Raw genomic sequence first — 16,731 nt, 5'->3', positions numbered from 1 at the left:
TCAACCAACTATGGATCAAAAATATTCAGAAAAATATACAAAACAATTAAAAATACAATACAAATAATGCAAATAAAAACAATACAGTATAACAACTAGCTACAAATCATTTATATTTTATTAGGTATTATAAGTAATCTAGAGACGATAAAAGTATATAGGAGAATGTGTGTAAATTATATGCAAATACTACACCATTTTATACCAGAGAGACTTGAGCATCCTCAGATTTTGGTATCCATAGGAGTCCTGAAATCAATCCCCCAAGGATATTGGGATGACTGTATGATATTCTGTATATTCATATATGTATATACCAATTTATATATCATATAAACCATTTATATATACATATATGTGTGTGTGTGTATATATATACACACACACACACACACACACACACACCCCTATAAAATAGCAAACAGTAAGAAGAGCTTTAGTCCAGGCTACTTTTTTGCTATGTGAGTGTATGCATACTTTGCAGCCAAAGAGTAGTGTCTTTATCGGTGCTACAGACTGTGGACTTTTCGTTTTGCATGACACACCAATCGTATTAGCCTGTGTCAAAGAATATGCTTCAGTGGCTTTCTTTTGATTGGGATGTTAGGCCAAGTCCCAGCACCATCTTCCCCCTAGAATCAATGGCACACACTGGGTTCTTCAGTGTGATGAAGTGTGACCCCGATGGGGTCAGAGCCAGTGGAGCCATAGCTTTGGAAGGACATTTTTCTCTGTGGTGTTAAAGCAGGCTGCTCCAGTTCTGGGTTTGATCTGAGTGAAAACTCTTTAGCCACCTACGATGTGAAGCTGGGACTGATAAGCTCCCCTGCACTTTGCCTGCCACACTCCTCACAGCTGATAGAGCAGTGCCATCAACAGATGGAAGCCATTAATAAGAGAGAACCCGGCATTCTTTTTCTGAGAGTACCCCATTAAGCTCTTCTTCCTACATCCCTTTCAAATGAGAGGCACCAGTGAGAGGTGACAGCGTGCTGGCAGCCCTCGCTTGCTCTCGATGCCTCCTCGGCCTGGGCGCCCATTCTGGCCATGCTTGAGGAGCCCTTCAGCCCCCCGCTGCACCGTGGGAAACCTTCCCTGGGACTGCTGAGGCCGGAGCCGGCTCCCTCAGCCTGCAGGGAGGTGTGGAGGAAGAGGCACGGGCGGGAACCGGGGTTGCGCGCAGCCTTGCGGGCCAGAGTTCCGGGTGGGCGTGGGCTTGGCGGGCCCCCCACACTCTGAGCGGGCGGCCGGCCTGCTGGTCCCGGGCACTGAGGGGCTTAGCACCCGGCGAGCAGCTGCGGAAGGTGCGCCGGGTCCCCCAGCAGTGCTGGCCCACGGGTGCTGCGCTCGATTTCTCGCGGGGCCTTAGCTGCCTCCCAGCAGGGCAGGGCTCAGGACCTGCAGCCTGCCATGCCTGAGCCTCCCCCACCCCCCGCTGTGGGCTCCTGCATGGCCCAAGCCTCCCCGAGGAGCACCGCCCCCTGCTCCACAGCGGCCGGTCCCATCCGCCGCCCAAGGGCTGAGAAATGCGGGCCCACGGCACTGGACTGGCAGGCAGCTCCATCTGCTGCCTGGTGCATGACCCGCTGGGTGAAGCCAGCTGGGCTCCCGAGTCTAGCGGGAACTTGGAGAATCTTTATGTCTAGCTAAGGGATTGTGAATACACCAATCAGCACTCTATCTAGCTCAAGGTTTGTAAATGCACCAATCAGCACTCACTTTTGTGTCTGGCTCAGGGATTGTAAATGAACCAATCAGCACCCTGTCAAAACGGACCAATCGGCTCTCTGTAAAACAGACCAATCAGCTCTCTGTAAAGTGGACCAATCAGCAGGATGTGGGTGGGGCCAGATAAGAGACCAAACGCAGGCTGCCCGAGCCAGCAGTGACAACCCGTCACCTTCCATACTGTGGAAGCTTTGTTCTTTCGCTCTGCAATAAATTTTGCTGGTGCTCACTCTTTGGGTCCACATTCCCCTTATGAGCTGTAACACTCACAGGGAAGGTCTGCAGCTTCACTCCTGAAGCCAGCGAGACCATGAACCCACCCGGAGGAATGAACAACTCCAGACTCTCCGACTTAAGAGCTGTAACACTCACCGGGAAGGTCTGCAGCTTCACTCCTGAGCTTGCGAGACCAGGAATCCACCAGAAGGAAGAAACTCTGAACACATCCGAATATCAGAAGGAACAAACTCTGGACACGACGCCTTTAAGAACTGTAACATGTAATCCCAGCACTTTGGGAGGCCAAGGCGGGTGGATCACGAGGTCAGGATATCGAGACCATCCTGGCTAACACGGTAAAACCCTGTCTCTACTAAAAATACAAAAAATTAGCTGGGCACGGTGGCGGGGGCCTGTAATCTCAGCTACTTGGGAGGCTGAGGCAGGAGAATGGCATGAACCCAGGAGGCGGAGCTTGCAGTGAGCCGAGATAGGGCCACTGCAGTCCGGCCTGGTCTAAAGAGCGAGACTCCGTCTTTTTTTTTTTTTTTTTAAAAAAACTGTAATACTCTTCGCGAGGGTCCGTGGTTTCATTTTTGAAGTCAGTGAGACCAAGAACCCACCAATTCCGCACACACCAGCATTCCTTCGGGTTCCTAAATAATAAACTGGGAACCATTCACCCTTGACATCTCCATCTCCTTAATCTTCCAGAATCCGGTCAGTCTCCAAGTTCTGCAGATCCTACTCCTTTCACTTCTCTCAAATCTGTTCTCAACTCTTCATCCCTGTTGCCCGTTGAAGTTTCAAGCCTTCATTTTTCTGGTCTATTGCAATGATCTGCTACTTAGCCTTCCCCTGTTTTCAACCCCTGCTGTTCAATTTGCTGTCATGAAGACAAGTAAATATCACTCATTTTCTGGGAATCTCCTCAATATTGCCCCCACAGCCTTCAGGATGATGACTTTGATTCTTGGATTGGAATACAGGGTTCTCTACGATCATGCCTCTGCCTACCTCCCCTTCCTCTCATGCCCCATTCACTACCAACTTCAACTGCTTATAGTTCCCAAACCATGCCAGGCTATGTAATATCTCTTTGCCTTTGCTCCACAGTCCTCTTTCCAGAATGCTCTGTTCTTTCCTCTCCTCTAGGTGAACACCTCTATACTTTTCAAAACTGAGATCAAGCATCACTCGTTAAAGAAAACTCTCCTGGGTCAGGTGTGGTGGTTCATGCCTATAATTCCAGCACTTTGGGAGGCCAAGGCGGAAAGATTGCTTGATGAGATGAGACAGAGATTTGAATTTATAGCCCAGTAAGGGCAATACGATCTTTTTCCTGCGTTTTAACTGTTGCACTCGGCATAGTACTCGGCATGTATTTGGCACTTAGTAAATGATTATTGAATAAATACAGATGTAAATGATGGTCTAATTCAGAACACTATATTGTTAAATATCCTGAATATATTTATTTAAGGCGTAGTTTGCAAACAAGCCATGTATTAGAACATCAGAATTTCACATGTGACAAAGCACGATCTGGTTCAGTGAGCCAAGTTGGTAATCTCCAGCCGATGACGAATTGCTCTTGAGACACTTGTTACAGGCAGCCTCAGGAAGAGGCACAGGCCATTTATACCGCTTCGAGCCGCCAGTCCCAGCTCTCTTGGAGAAAGGCAGCACAGCTGGGAGGGCTCACAACAGGAGGCCTGTTGAAAACAAGTCGTGGTTTCACCCTGTGTTTTGATTTCTGTTCAGGGAAGGGCACTTCCTCTTGCATTTGTAGGAGCCAAGTAACACATTCTGGGTGGAGGGAACTATGGTAGAAAGCCTAGTGTTGGACACATGAAAAGGTGGCAGCATCTTAGAACTGGCTAAACACATATCTTGGCATAAGAACTTGGGTGGCAGGCAACCAAGATTTGGGGAGTGCTTTTCCTGCATCATTTTCTGCTGGGATTGCAATATGAGGGAGGCCTTGTTGATGGGTGTAGTTTGTTATGGTTGGCAATACCTTCTGGTTAGTAGTGGTTGAGTGCTTGCTAACTTGTGAATTCTTCAGAAGAGAGTAGAATATAAAAAGCCTTCAAGCCTCTCCTGTCTCCCCCGCAATGCGGCTAACGCAGGGCAACCGGCAGCAGTGAGCTGTGGATCCAGGCACTGGCTAGAGAAGTTGACAGACCACGAACACGGGGCAAGCTGAGTCTTTCTGTTTCACTTCCGGCATGTTTTTCACCCACAGGGATATTTTGGTCTGTTTCAAAGAAGAGGAAATCAGCCCCTAGCAGAGTGTTTCAGAAAAGCAGCAGAAGAAAAGAAAAAAGATTAAAGCCATATCTCTTGGGGAGAGAGATAAAAATCTGGATTTTGTTTGAAACAATGTTTCCATTTCCAACACCTCAGGTCCATAAAAAGTAGGAGAAAAAAAGTCTTCTTGGGGTTTCAGCATGCACAGTGCATTTATTCTCTCTCTCATTTCTTAATTTGTCAGTTTCTTTCGCCAAGTACCAAATCCAGTAAATGTTCTTTAAATGGAAAGAAAAAAGCAATAATGAATGCCAGAAAAGTTTCCCAACCAGCCGGCCAAACCACAAGTATCCAAAAATGTGATTTCATTTTTAATAATACAGAAAACTGAGGAATATCAAGTAGAAATATAAAGAGAGGAAAAACATTGACTTATTCTAAACACCAATAAAAAGGATTTCCAACTTCAGAATGTTTGTAGAAGACATGAAGAGAAATAGCTAGTCAATGAAGGAATTCAGAACCCGGTGTTCACAAAATTAAGAAGATACTAGTGATCAATGAACTCTAAACACTCATATGGGTTTGCCTTCTCTGAATCCTTTGAAATTCACTCTCTATTCGGTGTCCAAATTTCCTGTATATGTAAAATGGAGCCAAGGAGCCCACATTGTGAACAGAGAAAGTAAAGATCGTGTAGGATGAAGACATTCGTGTTGTAACCTGTGTCTTTTATGCCAACTCTTAGAATTTAAGGAGCAGCTGGGGAGGCCAGCAGGCTGACTTAAGCCCACAAAGGATGGCCTCTGATCCCTGAAACTGGGGGAAGAAGCAAGATAATTCTTAACTACTCAGGTGACATCTCTTCCAAGAAGTTTTCTCTAACTTACTCCCTAGCCCAGGAGGGAAGGCTTAGACCCCTCATCTGTTTTCCCGGAACACCTGGGCATAGCTCTTATTGCATCCAAACGGTTCTTATAATGCAATGCAACACAATACACAGTATCTATATGTCTCCCTTGTTAGACCATGGAGTCTAGAGCAGGGATATCTTTACTTCTCTGGTGCCAGGTATAGTGGCTGGAACATCAATTACCTAATTGACATGAATGCTTTCTTTCTTTGTATCCAAATAACTCAGGGCATTTTAGTTGTTTTATCCTATGGTTATATCATTCTTACCATGTTTTAGTACCGGCAAATAGAATTCATTATTTCCCAGGATATATCAGTTAATAATTTCATAAACAGAGAAACTAACTACATCTGGAGCAGTGCTTCCCAAACTTTACTGTGCATGCAAATCACCTGTGGATCTTGCTACAAAGCCGATCGTCACTCATTTGGCCTGGGAAGGGGCCTGAGAAGCTGCCTTTCTAACAAGCTCCCAAGTGCTGCCAATGCTCTTGGTCCATAAAGTAAGAGTGGCTTGAGCCAGATAGAGTTTAATTTTGTTTCCTGAAAGTTAAGTCCAGAGATTAGCAGTCCAGAGCTTGTTTGGCAGTTCTGCCACATCATCATCAGCCCAGGCTCTTCTATCTTTCTGCTTTACTATCCTAGGTTCTGTTTACCCCAAGGTCTCCCCTTGTCCCAAGATAGCAGCTGCTACTCTAGCCATCACACCTATATTGTAGTCAGTAGAGAGGAGGACACACCAGGGCAAATGGCTGACAGCTGGGTCAGCCCCTTCTAAAGGAGTTGTCAGGAGGAGCCCATCTGACAACTTTCACTCCTATCTCACTGGCCAAAATGTAGTCACCTATCTAAAGGAAGGCTTGAAATGTGATTTTCCTGTTGGGAATATGTTGCTGATTACAACGAATTGAGTTTCTCTTAGGAAGAGGGGGAATGAATGCTGGGTAGATGCCAGCAATCTCTACTATGAGTCAGATGAGATTGTTGTGGATCACCTGTTACTCACCCGTGGTTAGTAACCTCTGGATTGTGCCCCATTCCTGAAGAGACACCAGTTACTCTGTTAAGGTCCATGCGAAACATCAGCTGTCTTTGTGACAAGTTCTGTCTCATAGGCTCCTTGACTGTACTTACTGACTAAAGCTATCATCACTCTTGGCTGTGAAACTTGAAGTAAGATGAGGGGACCAGAACTTCCTACCCTCGCTGCTGCCTCTTTGGAATAACATTAATTGTCAGAGCTTAGTTTGGCCCAGGCCTTATTTGCATCCTTGGGCTCTCGGATGCCAGGGAAACATGGCTACTGTGACAACAGATGAGATCCTGGCTCAAGGATGCTGGCAGGGTCTCTAGCTTATTGTCCCTAAGGTTATGGCTTATAAATAAGGGAATGAGTCCAAAGAGATGTGCTGTTCTTCTTGCTTGGTGCCAATCAGTTCATTCCTTGAGTAACAGTGGAGTCACCCAAAGTGAAGAAACAATTCCAGCCCACTGATTTCGGCCTGAGCACTCACGTTTTTTCCCTGGCTCTTTGCCCAGGATTTCCAGGGAGAAGGCAGGGGCCAAGAAGCAATATACATTCCTGAAAGGAAGGCTTCTTGAGTGATTAAAATGATGGTATCAGTCGGTGGCTCACAGGCAATGACAGAGAACACAGGCAGGGTGCCCTCTGAGATGCACCCCCTCATTTCCTGAGTCATGACGTGGAAGACAGGGAAAGTGCACATCAGCAACAACAGGAAAGGAAAAGGTAGTTGTTTGTTTTCCTTCCGTTCTCCTCCCATCTCAAGGAATTGATACCTCCAAAATTTCAATCTGAGATAACAAAAACAATTTGCAAATAGTCAATAAACAGTGCATTCATTCATTATTACTAGAACTACATTCATGGAAAATAATTTATATAAACTAACCAAAAGTCGTTTTTTAAAAAAGGTAATATGATTTATTTAGATGGGTTCAACCATCAGATTTTTGGGGGGAGGAGGGTAATCCATGAATCTATTTGTGTGCTAAGTATTGCTATAAATTGAATGTGTTTTTCACATCTATTTATTACTATTTTTCAAGTCCTATAGATGCAGTTTTGATTAGTAAAATGCAAGTTTATTTTAAGATGTGACTAAATTTTTATCTGAGAAAATACATTATGGCAAAAAGCAATAACTGGATACTAAAAATATAATGACCATTATGTGAGAGTATGTAGAATTCAAGTATTAAAAAAAGAAGTCCTCCTACCTGAACATGTTGGTGTAACTGAGCCCATATTCAGCTGCCCACTGCTTGAAAGTGAGCCACGAGAAACGAGGTTGGGAATGCCTTGTTATCCCCCCTCCCTTTATAGTTTAGACACAACAACAGCATTAATGTTAAAATAGAGATCATGAGACTGGCAGCACAGCCTGTGGCTATAAGATACCAAATCATAAACAGGACCTAAGGCCATGCCCGGCAAAGGTTAAGTCTCCACCCCAAGATAAACGTGTGTTACATGCATGTTTGTTCAGTACACATGTGTCAAGACCACCTTCATAAATATTTATAGCTACTTCTGTAACCCATTAAATATGTATGTTGAGCTGATCTATCATATACCCACAGGAGCCCTGGATACAATTGACAGTAGGGAGCAAATGTATTGATTTTCTTGCTGATATGGTAGGCCATTCCAGGTTTCTGCCCTGGTGTGAGAACCAACCGATGCTCTAAGAGATTTAACAATTGCCAAATATGTTAAGACGCTAGATATTATACTAACTTTTGTTTATAAGTTTGCTTCCAGCAGAATCATTTTTCCCATGGATATGGACCTGCATCCTTTTCAACTAAGAAATAGGTCCTCCTAAAGACCTGGAAGGAACAAGGGCCTGAACATCAGCTCACTGCCAGGTCAAAAAGTTTCATTCCACAGTTGCCCCACGTTGACCCTGTTTGGCAAGAAGTAGCCAGCTGAGAGATGACATCCCATTGTCCCTAATCCCACAAAATTGTGGAATGAGCCTTTGACAGTGGGGAATTGTAGCAGTGAAACAGCAAAAAAAAAAAACCCAACATAACTAATTCCATTTTTATTTAAGGGGCCTACACCCATTCCTGCACGTTTGCTAGGGTAATTTTAGAGCACTGAGATAATATACAAAAACAGCAATCAAATATTTTGTAAATCGAACTCTGGGATTAAAGAGGAAGTATATAAACAACTAATTATGTTTTGTTAAAGATTTACAGGAGCATTGTGACCCGACCAAGGACAAAAAAGTTCCCAGCCTCCTTCTCTCAGACCTTTCATGGTTCCTGATAGTTGGGGAATGATCCGCTGTGCTGCTGCTGTAGCATCAACGAATACATATACTTCATCAGCCTCCTCCATTTCTAATCTTAGTACTCAGGTCCGTCTCTCAGTCCCAGAGACACTGTCAGCCTTTTATTATAAAATCACTGTCTGATTTTTCAAGAAGTCCTTGAATAGCTCTTTAGTTAAGTAGATCTAAGGCAAGTAGCCACCAATCGTTTTGAAAGAAGTATGGAAGAGAATATTTTTGACTCAGCAAGGAACTGGGGCATGGCTGCTCTTGGTGGGAGGTGATAGGCAATGCTGCCGCGTTGCACCTCCCACCCGCACACGCATACATACACACATTCAGCACCCATGATTTTACAAGGGGCTAAGGAGCCTGCAGGAAAATGAGGTATAGCAAAGCGTCCTCCTCAATGTGACTCTATAGTTTCCCTGTCACTTACAGAATAATTCTTCTCAAGGGATAAAAATTTTTGTTGTGCTGTGAGAAATAGTAGATACTCAAAGCTCTTTGAAAACCTTTGTGGTGCACTCTCTGTAGTGCACGCTCAAAACCCTGAGTGCAGTGCCCTAAAGGTGTTCTTCTCTGTGGGTGGCTAGGTTTGTAGGAAGATCCCCAGCCTTCCCTCCACCACTCCTGGCAGAATGGCTCCAGCCCCATCCCACGCCAACTTCAACCAGAGAGCTCCTGTTTATTTTATGTGCTGAGATTCCAGACATAATTCTGTCAGTTTAAAAAAAAGACCTCTTTTAAATGCATTTTTGAAAGCTGCTGGTCTCTTGTATCCACTGAATTTGGGGAATATCACACACATACACATATAATATGTAATAATACAACATCTATGTAAAAATTTATCAGGATATGACAACAATACTGAAGCAGCAGTGGGTGGTGCACAGGTCACACCTGTGAAAGGATTGTCTTGCATTGTTCTGGCCTGACTCTGGTGAAGAACAAGGTGGTATCGAACCCCTGGGTGAGTCTCAAGAAAAGAAACAGAGTTACGGGACCATGTCAAGCTCTCAGAACTTCTGTATACTCCTTCCTGATTTTTTTTTTCTTTTTATGAGACAGATTCTTGCTTTGTCGTGCAGGCTGGAGTACAGTGGCACAATCTCGGCTCACTTCAATCTCCACCTCCCACATTCAAGCAGTTCTCCTATGTTAGCTTCCTGAGTATCTGGGACTACAGGCATGTGCCACCACACTCAGCTAATTTTTGTATTTTTAGTAGAGATGGGGTTTAACCATGTTGACCAGGCCGGTCTTGAGCTCCTGATCTCAAGTGATTCTCCCACCTCGGCCTCCCAAAGTGCTGGGATTACAGGTGTGAGCCACCACACCCAGCCTCCTGATTTTTTTTTTATCAACCTGATATGGATAGATTCCCAAGTCTTGATTACCCCATCCCCTTCTATTGAAGAGCCCTAGGAGAACCCTCTTTTGAGTTGCCCCCACAAGCTCTTTTACTCATTATGATGGTCAAAGAGAGGTTGTAAAGGGTGCACGATTTTATGAATCCCTTTTTAATCTATCCAGATGATCTCTTGCTGGGAATTACTATTTCGTCTTGTAGGCCAGAGCGTAAGATGAGACCCTACTCTGGCGGGCACAGTGGCTGATGCCTTGTAATCCCAGCAATTTAGGAGGCAGAGGTGGGTGGATTGCTTGAGTCTGGAGTTTAAGGCTAGCCTGGGCAACATGGCAAAACCCCATCTTTTTTTTAAAAAAAAGAAAGTACAAAAATTAGCCAGGTGTGGTGGCACATACCTGTAGTCCCAGCTACTTGGGAGGATAAAGCAGGAAAGTCGCTTGAGCCTGGGAGATGGAGGTTGCAGTGAGCCGAGATAGAGCTACCGCACTCCAGTCTGGGTGATGAGAGTGAAACCTTGTCTTACAAAAGAAAAAAAAAAAAAGAATCTATTTCTAGACAGTGATGAACTTTATTCCCCCATGTCATGGTCCTTGTAGCTTAAGGAGGTATTTGAGGTTAGGCTTCTCTGACCCTTTGCCCATTCTGCCAGGGGATAAGATATTGGACACCACACTGAAGTTAGATGTTGAAAATTGAGGTCCATAATCCCCGTATGTTCAGTCTCATTCACTTATCAAAGAATATTTCTAACTGGATCCCCAACAGAATCCTTACAATGGAGTGCCATCTCCATTGGCCTCAGGAACTGATGATTCTTTTAGTCCTTTCCTTATAGTGCGTGGGCCCACAGCTTACTTTCACTCATTGCCCACCTGGCTTTTGCTGATACATAATGCCCTTGCATAACCTCCTTGGTCAGCCTAATCACTTAACCCCAGGAGGCCCCTTCAGAAAATCTGCAAATCGCTTCTCTGAGTACGCTTGAGCGTAGCTTATTCAGGCCTAGATAAGCTTTGTTTCTTCAAGACAAAGCTTGTCCCTTTTGCTTCCAGCATAGACTCAGGCCATAGGACCCAAGTCTGAATTTTGGGTGCGTAACTTACTTTGAGCAAGTTACTATTTCTGGTCCTCAAGATTCTCGTGAAAAATAAAGATTAAAAATAGTCCTTACCTCCTAGCATTGTTTGAGAGTTAAATGAGTGAGGGCATTTTATACATTTAGACTATACTTGGCATATAATCAGCTATCAATAAATATTAGATAATATTATTTTGGCAAGAACTGGAAGTGACATTGGCTTTACCAAGTTCATTTGTCCATCTGTTCATTTGAAATGTATTTACTGATCCCCTATGATATGCCAGCTATTGTGATCAGCCACAATTAAGAATAGCCACTCCATACATTCTACAAATACATGTATGGATTCTAATGCATTGCTTTTTCTGAAAAATTTTTTTTTAAAACATGATACACCTTCAAAAAAACTGGAATTTTAAAATGCTCATGTCCCTAGATTGCTGGTTATAAACTATAAGTTCTCTGATTGGGAGAGCATTCGGTGGCCTACCCACTGTTACCTCTGAAGGCAAATTTTTACTGTCAGCCTCAAAAGGACTAAGTTAGGAAACTCATGGCAGAACATTAAAATGTTTATTTCTAATGAAGTTTTCAATATGTAGACATGATTTTTATCCACATTTGTATTCCTCTCTATTGAGATAAATCCAATCTAAAGTGAGGCCTATAGAATGAATAAAAAGTAAATAATATTTTAAAAGAGACCTTATGTCTGAGCAGAATTACTGCTCTAGTAGCTGGCCCATGGAGTGGAGGTGGGAAGGGTCCCACCTCAGGCCTTCAAAGGATGATGTTATGAGGTCTTGAGGTCGGGCCCTGGAGGGGTGTGGCCAGGGCTCAGATCCAGCTTCTACCATTTCTCCTGGCTGACCTTAGGCAAGCGGGTGGCTCAACTCTCTCTATGCTTGTTTTCTTTATCTATACAGGTAGATAATAAAAATACATATCTTGTAAGATTGTTATGAGGCTAAAATGAAGTGATACATGTAAAATATTTGTACATATGCAATAAATATTAGCAGTCAGTGCCAGTCATTGGTCTATATTTTTTCCTCATGAGCCATCCTTTTAGATACCAATACCCTATGTCAGGAAATGACAAATAAAAAACAAACAACAAAGAAGATACCAAGCCCTCTTAAAATAAAAATTCTTCACCAAAAAATTTTTTTAAATGTAATCTGCTATTATTCAGCTGTCTCAAGTTTCATTTAAAGATGAGGCATAGTGTGACATCCATTTTATAGATACAAAAACTAAGGATCCAAGAATGGTTCTCTAAGTTTATAAAACTCAGAGGTGTCAGAAAAACATAGCATACGCTCAGGATATCTGTCTCCAAGTCCCTCCCCCTTTTTATTTTTTAGCTTCACATATCTGTGGACTGGGGTTGGGGGGAAGATCACTATCTTTCAAAAACCACAGATTCTCAGAAAGTACCATTAACTATATCTAAAAATGCACCGTGGCAGCTATTTTTAAGTTATTAAAGTCAACATACTATCTATGCAGCAGCCATTGTTAAAGAAAGCTTCATGTAGAGTTAGAATATAAATGGGGAATGAATTCCAAAAGGAATGATGGGAGCCCGCACCTTGGTGACTACTGAACAATTACATGAGTTTTGTACAGAGATTTTGAAATTGGAGAAAATGTTCTCTCTCTCTCTCTCTCTCTCTCTCTCCAGTCCAGCAGTTTGAGTTTGAAAGCTGGGTGAAGTCTTGGAGAAGCTGGAGAGCAGCCCGGGTTTCCTGCTGCGTGAAGGCGAAAGCCTAGAGCTGGTTGGAACAAGCCTCTCTACTCTGACTTAGGTTTGCTCTTCTGGAAAGCTGTGAAAGAGAAGCCGTTTGCAAGGTCATGTAGAGTATGGCCCCTCCAGAGGGCCCGGCACCATCCCAGGCATTTCACACATCTCACCCCACGGAGTTGTTATGCAGGGGATTACCAAGAGGCCATTTTGACACAACTGTTTTAACACAGAGCTTAAAAAATAAATTATCAGGTAATGTCAACTGCCCTGTTTTGACCCTCACACCACTCTGGCGTGTCTCCTCAATTATCATTTTTGTTGAAACCTGTTACCTAGTATGTACTATTTTTATTATCTTTTCTAGCGCCCCTCTTTCCACTCCCTGTCCCTGAACCTAGCCTACCCCACCCCACCACCACTTCATTCCTCCTTGTTGGTACCAGCTGGCAAAATCTATATTATTAGAAAATTTCTTTGATAAAATTGACACTAATAAAATATCTGAAAATCCACTTTTCTCACGCCAAAGGATATTTGATGAAAATGAATTATGGTAACAGTTATTCAAAATGTACAAAAGGTTGAAAGATAATATTTTATTTATGATTAATTCATAAGAAAATTATAGGAGATTTATTTCAGATATTTGGAAGTAGTTCTGTGTTTGTATTCCTTTTTCAGGTGCAAAGTCGCAAAATTCTTCTCTCCATTCTGATACATTTAAGCACTTTTATGATGGCTCTCCCCTTTACATGTTCTGCTTGTATTCTTGGTCTTTTCAAGACTGAACAAATAAAATTCATTTACCAATTGTCACACATCCACTGTTCCACACTGAACTAGAATTTGCATTTGTCAATGTGCAAACTTTGACCAAGTTGTCTATTTGGCTATTGCCTCATTAGTCTCTTAAACTTTATATTTAAGGTAAAAAAATAACATATTTGATGAAGTCCTCACCATTTGACTTGAGGACACATGTGGAGATGGCATAGTGGTTAAGAAAGAATACAGGCAAACTGGTTTTGAATCCTGGCCCCATCCACTTTCACTGTAAAGTAATATTAGGAAATTCATTTAACTTCTTTGTGCTGCAACACACTGTGAGGAGTAAGTGAGTTCTAAAGTGCTTAATATCTGTGCCAGGTATTCTTTCAAGTGTTATATGCATGTTAGCAATTATTTTTACTAATTTAAAATTGGGTGCATTTTCTGTTTAGATGAACATTCCACTTAGCAGTAATAAGCAGTTTTCTTTTTTCCTTACTCATTTTTGATGCAACTCTAGGAATAGAAATTGTAGTTGTGGAAAGAGGCAGGTTTGGGGCAAAAAGCAGAGTAGGGGCTGGGGAAAGGTATAGAGGTTGAGCATGGCTCAGGCATGAACAACGTACAGGTTTACTGGGTAGTTTTGCAAAAGTGCTATTAAAAGAGAACAGAAGAGATGAGGTGATGTTTCCGTTATGCATACAACTCAATTTTTTTTTTCACTGAAGATTTTATTGCTTGATTTTTCTCCCCATAGCAAAATGCTCCAGAGATAAAAAAAAAAGTTGCACCAGGAAGACTTCATCAAAATGTCATGTGCTTCATTGTTTAAGCAGGTAAAGTATTGTTGGGTTGTGAAAATGAAAAAGTGATATCAGTAGACTTAGAGGGCCTCATCCCCGTTCAGGCCCACTTCTGAATGGGCCTGATGGGGAAAGGGAAGGAGAAGAGTGGATGCCCCTGACTGAGCATCATGGAAAGCTTCAGAAGCTTAGGAAGGCTAGAGTCTAGCATCTCTTAGACCAGAACAAAGACGTGAGTGGGCCCAGAGGATTGGAGCACCCAGCTAAGCCTTTCTCCTAAGCTGGTGTTTGCCCCAGTCAGCCAGTGATGGGAAGCATTTAGCATCCCCATTGCCCCTCACCTCTTCCCACATCCATGGTAGGCAGAGCCAACACATCAAAACAGTCACTCCTGATGAGCTCAGGGAACATCTCAGGTTTCCACTGCACATGATGCTCTAGGTAGGTTTCCCCGTGAGTGTGGTCATCAGGACTGAATACATAATTTGTAGGGCCCAGTGCAAAAAGAAAATGTTGAAGCCAATGTTCAAAAAGTATTACAAATTTCAAGATGGCAGCAGCAGAGCATTAAATCAAGTGCGAGGCCCTCTGAGCATGGGGCCCTGTACACAGGTTGTACCTGAAGTCAGCCAACTCTCCCCATAGTTGGTATATGAGTACCTCGTCCTGAAAGATCTCTGCTGAGACCACAGCATCCACTACATATGCTACCTCCAGCCCATAGACGGCCATTATTTTCCATTCCTGAAATCAATGGGGCAATTGATTGACCTGCTGGGACCAACATGATGAGGTCACTTTAATAAAATAAAACAAGGCAAACAGCAAGAAGAAAAAAATGCCAGGAAATGCACCAGGGAAAATGGTGCCACTCCTTAAAGCCTGGAGCAGAAGAAGATCAGAGGCACTGATTTTACAGGGAAACATGGAAGCCCAGCAAGTATTTTAGAAACTTGGTGGCTTTTCTATGGTTTTTATTGTCTGTAAGAATTTTCTTATATTTTCCCTTTTCACAGCAAAGGGAAGCTGGCGTTTTCAAAGTGAACTCTGCTAAAGACTAAGAAAGGAAAACGATATATAGTATTATAATATTAATAATAATAATTAAGGCTTATGATTATAATAAGCACTACTTTGGGAATATTCTCCCCCAAATGGCCCAGAGCAACACAAATATATTTTGAGACTCTAGAAAACACAAAAAACACAAAATGTGTTTATGTCTACCAATAAGGAGACATAAACACATTTTGAAATATGTATTCTTAGACACAAATTTCAAAATATATTTTTCTAGAAAAATATATTCTGGAGACAAAGTTCAAAAATGAATCACTATAAAATTATTTTCCGGCTGCTTTAAAATTGCAAAATTGTAAGTTCAATAGCTTGTAGTTCTATTTGTAACAAAAATTTAGTTTTTAAAGGAAATTCAGTTAGTTAATTTCCAGTGCACTGAAACAAGTATGCTGACAAACATTAATTATCCTAAAGATGCTTATTTTATGAATAAGACGCTCAATTTTTAAAAACATTCCAAAATGGTGTATATTTATAAATGTATTATATGTCTTTCAGCCTTGTCATGAATTTTTTTTTAATTTGGGATGTTATTCCCCTATTTCAACATCATATTTGCAGGGTTTTTGTGTGTAACTGTAAGTGAAGGTGTGCTCAGAAATGATTTTAGTGGGGTCTAAATTGTTGCAGGCGTGTCCAATCTTTTGAGTTTTCTGAGCCACATTGGGAGAAGAATTGTCCTGGGCCACACATAAAATACATTAACACTAAGGATCGCTGATGAGCTGAAAAAAAAAATCGCAAAAAAATTTCGTAATGTTTTAGAAAAGTTTATGAAATTGTGTTGGGCCACATTCAAAGCTATCCTGGGCTGCATGCAGCAGCCCGTGGGCCACAGGTTGGACAAGTTTGGTTTACTGGCTCCTATCCACTGAGAATAACCCAAAGGGAAGCAAACACTAAACTCTGCCCCTCTTTCCTGAATGTATCAGTTCTGTGTCATGGTCCCTCAGAAGTCCTAACTTGCCCAGGACAAAGCCACACCTTGGAATTCTTCTTCCACCCCACTCTCTACACCCAGCAGGACCCTGATTCAACCATAGCCTTATAAGGAAATCCAATAAGCATGTTAGAAGAGAGGAATTCTGGCTGGAAAAAGTGTGTATATGGGGGAGGAGGGAGACCCTTAAATCAATTTCATCTGCCACCCTTGTTAGTTCCCAAGGACCAACAAACTCCTTAAGATATTAAGTATTGAAAACCACTCTTCAGAGTACTGCACATTTTGCTCAGGGCTGTTGTTTGGGGTCAAAATGAAATTATAGCCATGAAAGCAAAGCAGAAAGGATTCCAAGTACTGGCAGATGCTTCTCTTGTTCATAATACTTCGTGTGTTTCTGGACAAGTAAGCCAACAATAAAATAAGTGTCTCCCAACAAGATGAATAGCTCCATGAAGGCAAAGCACCTTTGCACAAGGTAGGGCCTCAGTAAAAATGTGTTGACTCTAAAAGA

At 42.5% G+C, this 16,731-nt stretch overlaps 1 protein-coding gene across 1 annotated transcript in view, besides 1 other annotated feature; it reads right to left on the bottom strand.

Moving 5' to 3' along the window:
* Positions 1–2,541: 2,541 nt before the first annotated feature.
* The window catches only part of SNX18 (sorting nexin 18), a 130,247-nt gene continuing 116,057 nt past the window's right edge, over positions 2,542–16,731 (bottom strand). Inside the window, exons 4-5 of the transcript XR_007058577.1 lie at positions 6,630–6,930; positions 2,542–4,478 (exon numbers count right to left, since the gene is read on the bottom strand). The gene's annotated coding sequence lies outside the window, so the exon portion shown is untranslated. The remainder of the gene's footprint in view (positions 4,479–6,629; positions 6,931–16,731) is intronic.
* Positions 10,461–11,035: an enhancer, noted in NCBI's record as "OCT4-NANOG hESC enhancer chr5:53935341-53935915 (GRCh37/hg19 assembly coordinates)". NCBI's record gives its function as "activates a minimal SCP1, AML or CMV promoter by ChIP-STARR-seq in primed H9 embryonic stem cells {active_cell/tissue: H9 hESC(primed)}" and the evidence as "EXISTENCE:reporter gene assay evidence [ECO:0000049][PMID:30033119]".

The sequence above is a fragment of the Homo sapiens genome, chromosome 5 (genome assembly GCF_000001405.40).
Source record: "Homo sapiens chromosome 5, GRCh38.p14 Primary Assembly".
Taxonomy (NCBI): domain Eukaryota; kingdom Metazoa; phylum Chordata; class Mammalia; order Primates; family Hominidae; genus Homo; species Homo sapiens.
This window is presented reverse-complemented; position numbering and strand designations above follow the sequence as displayed.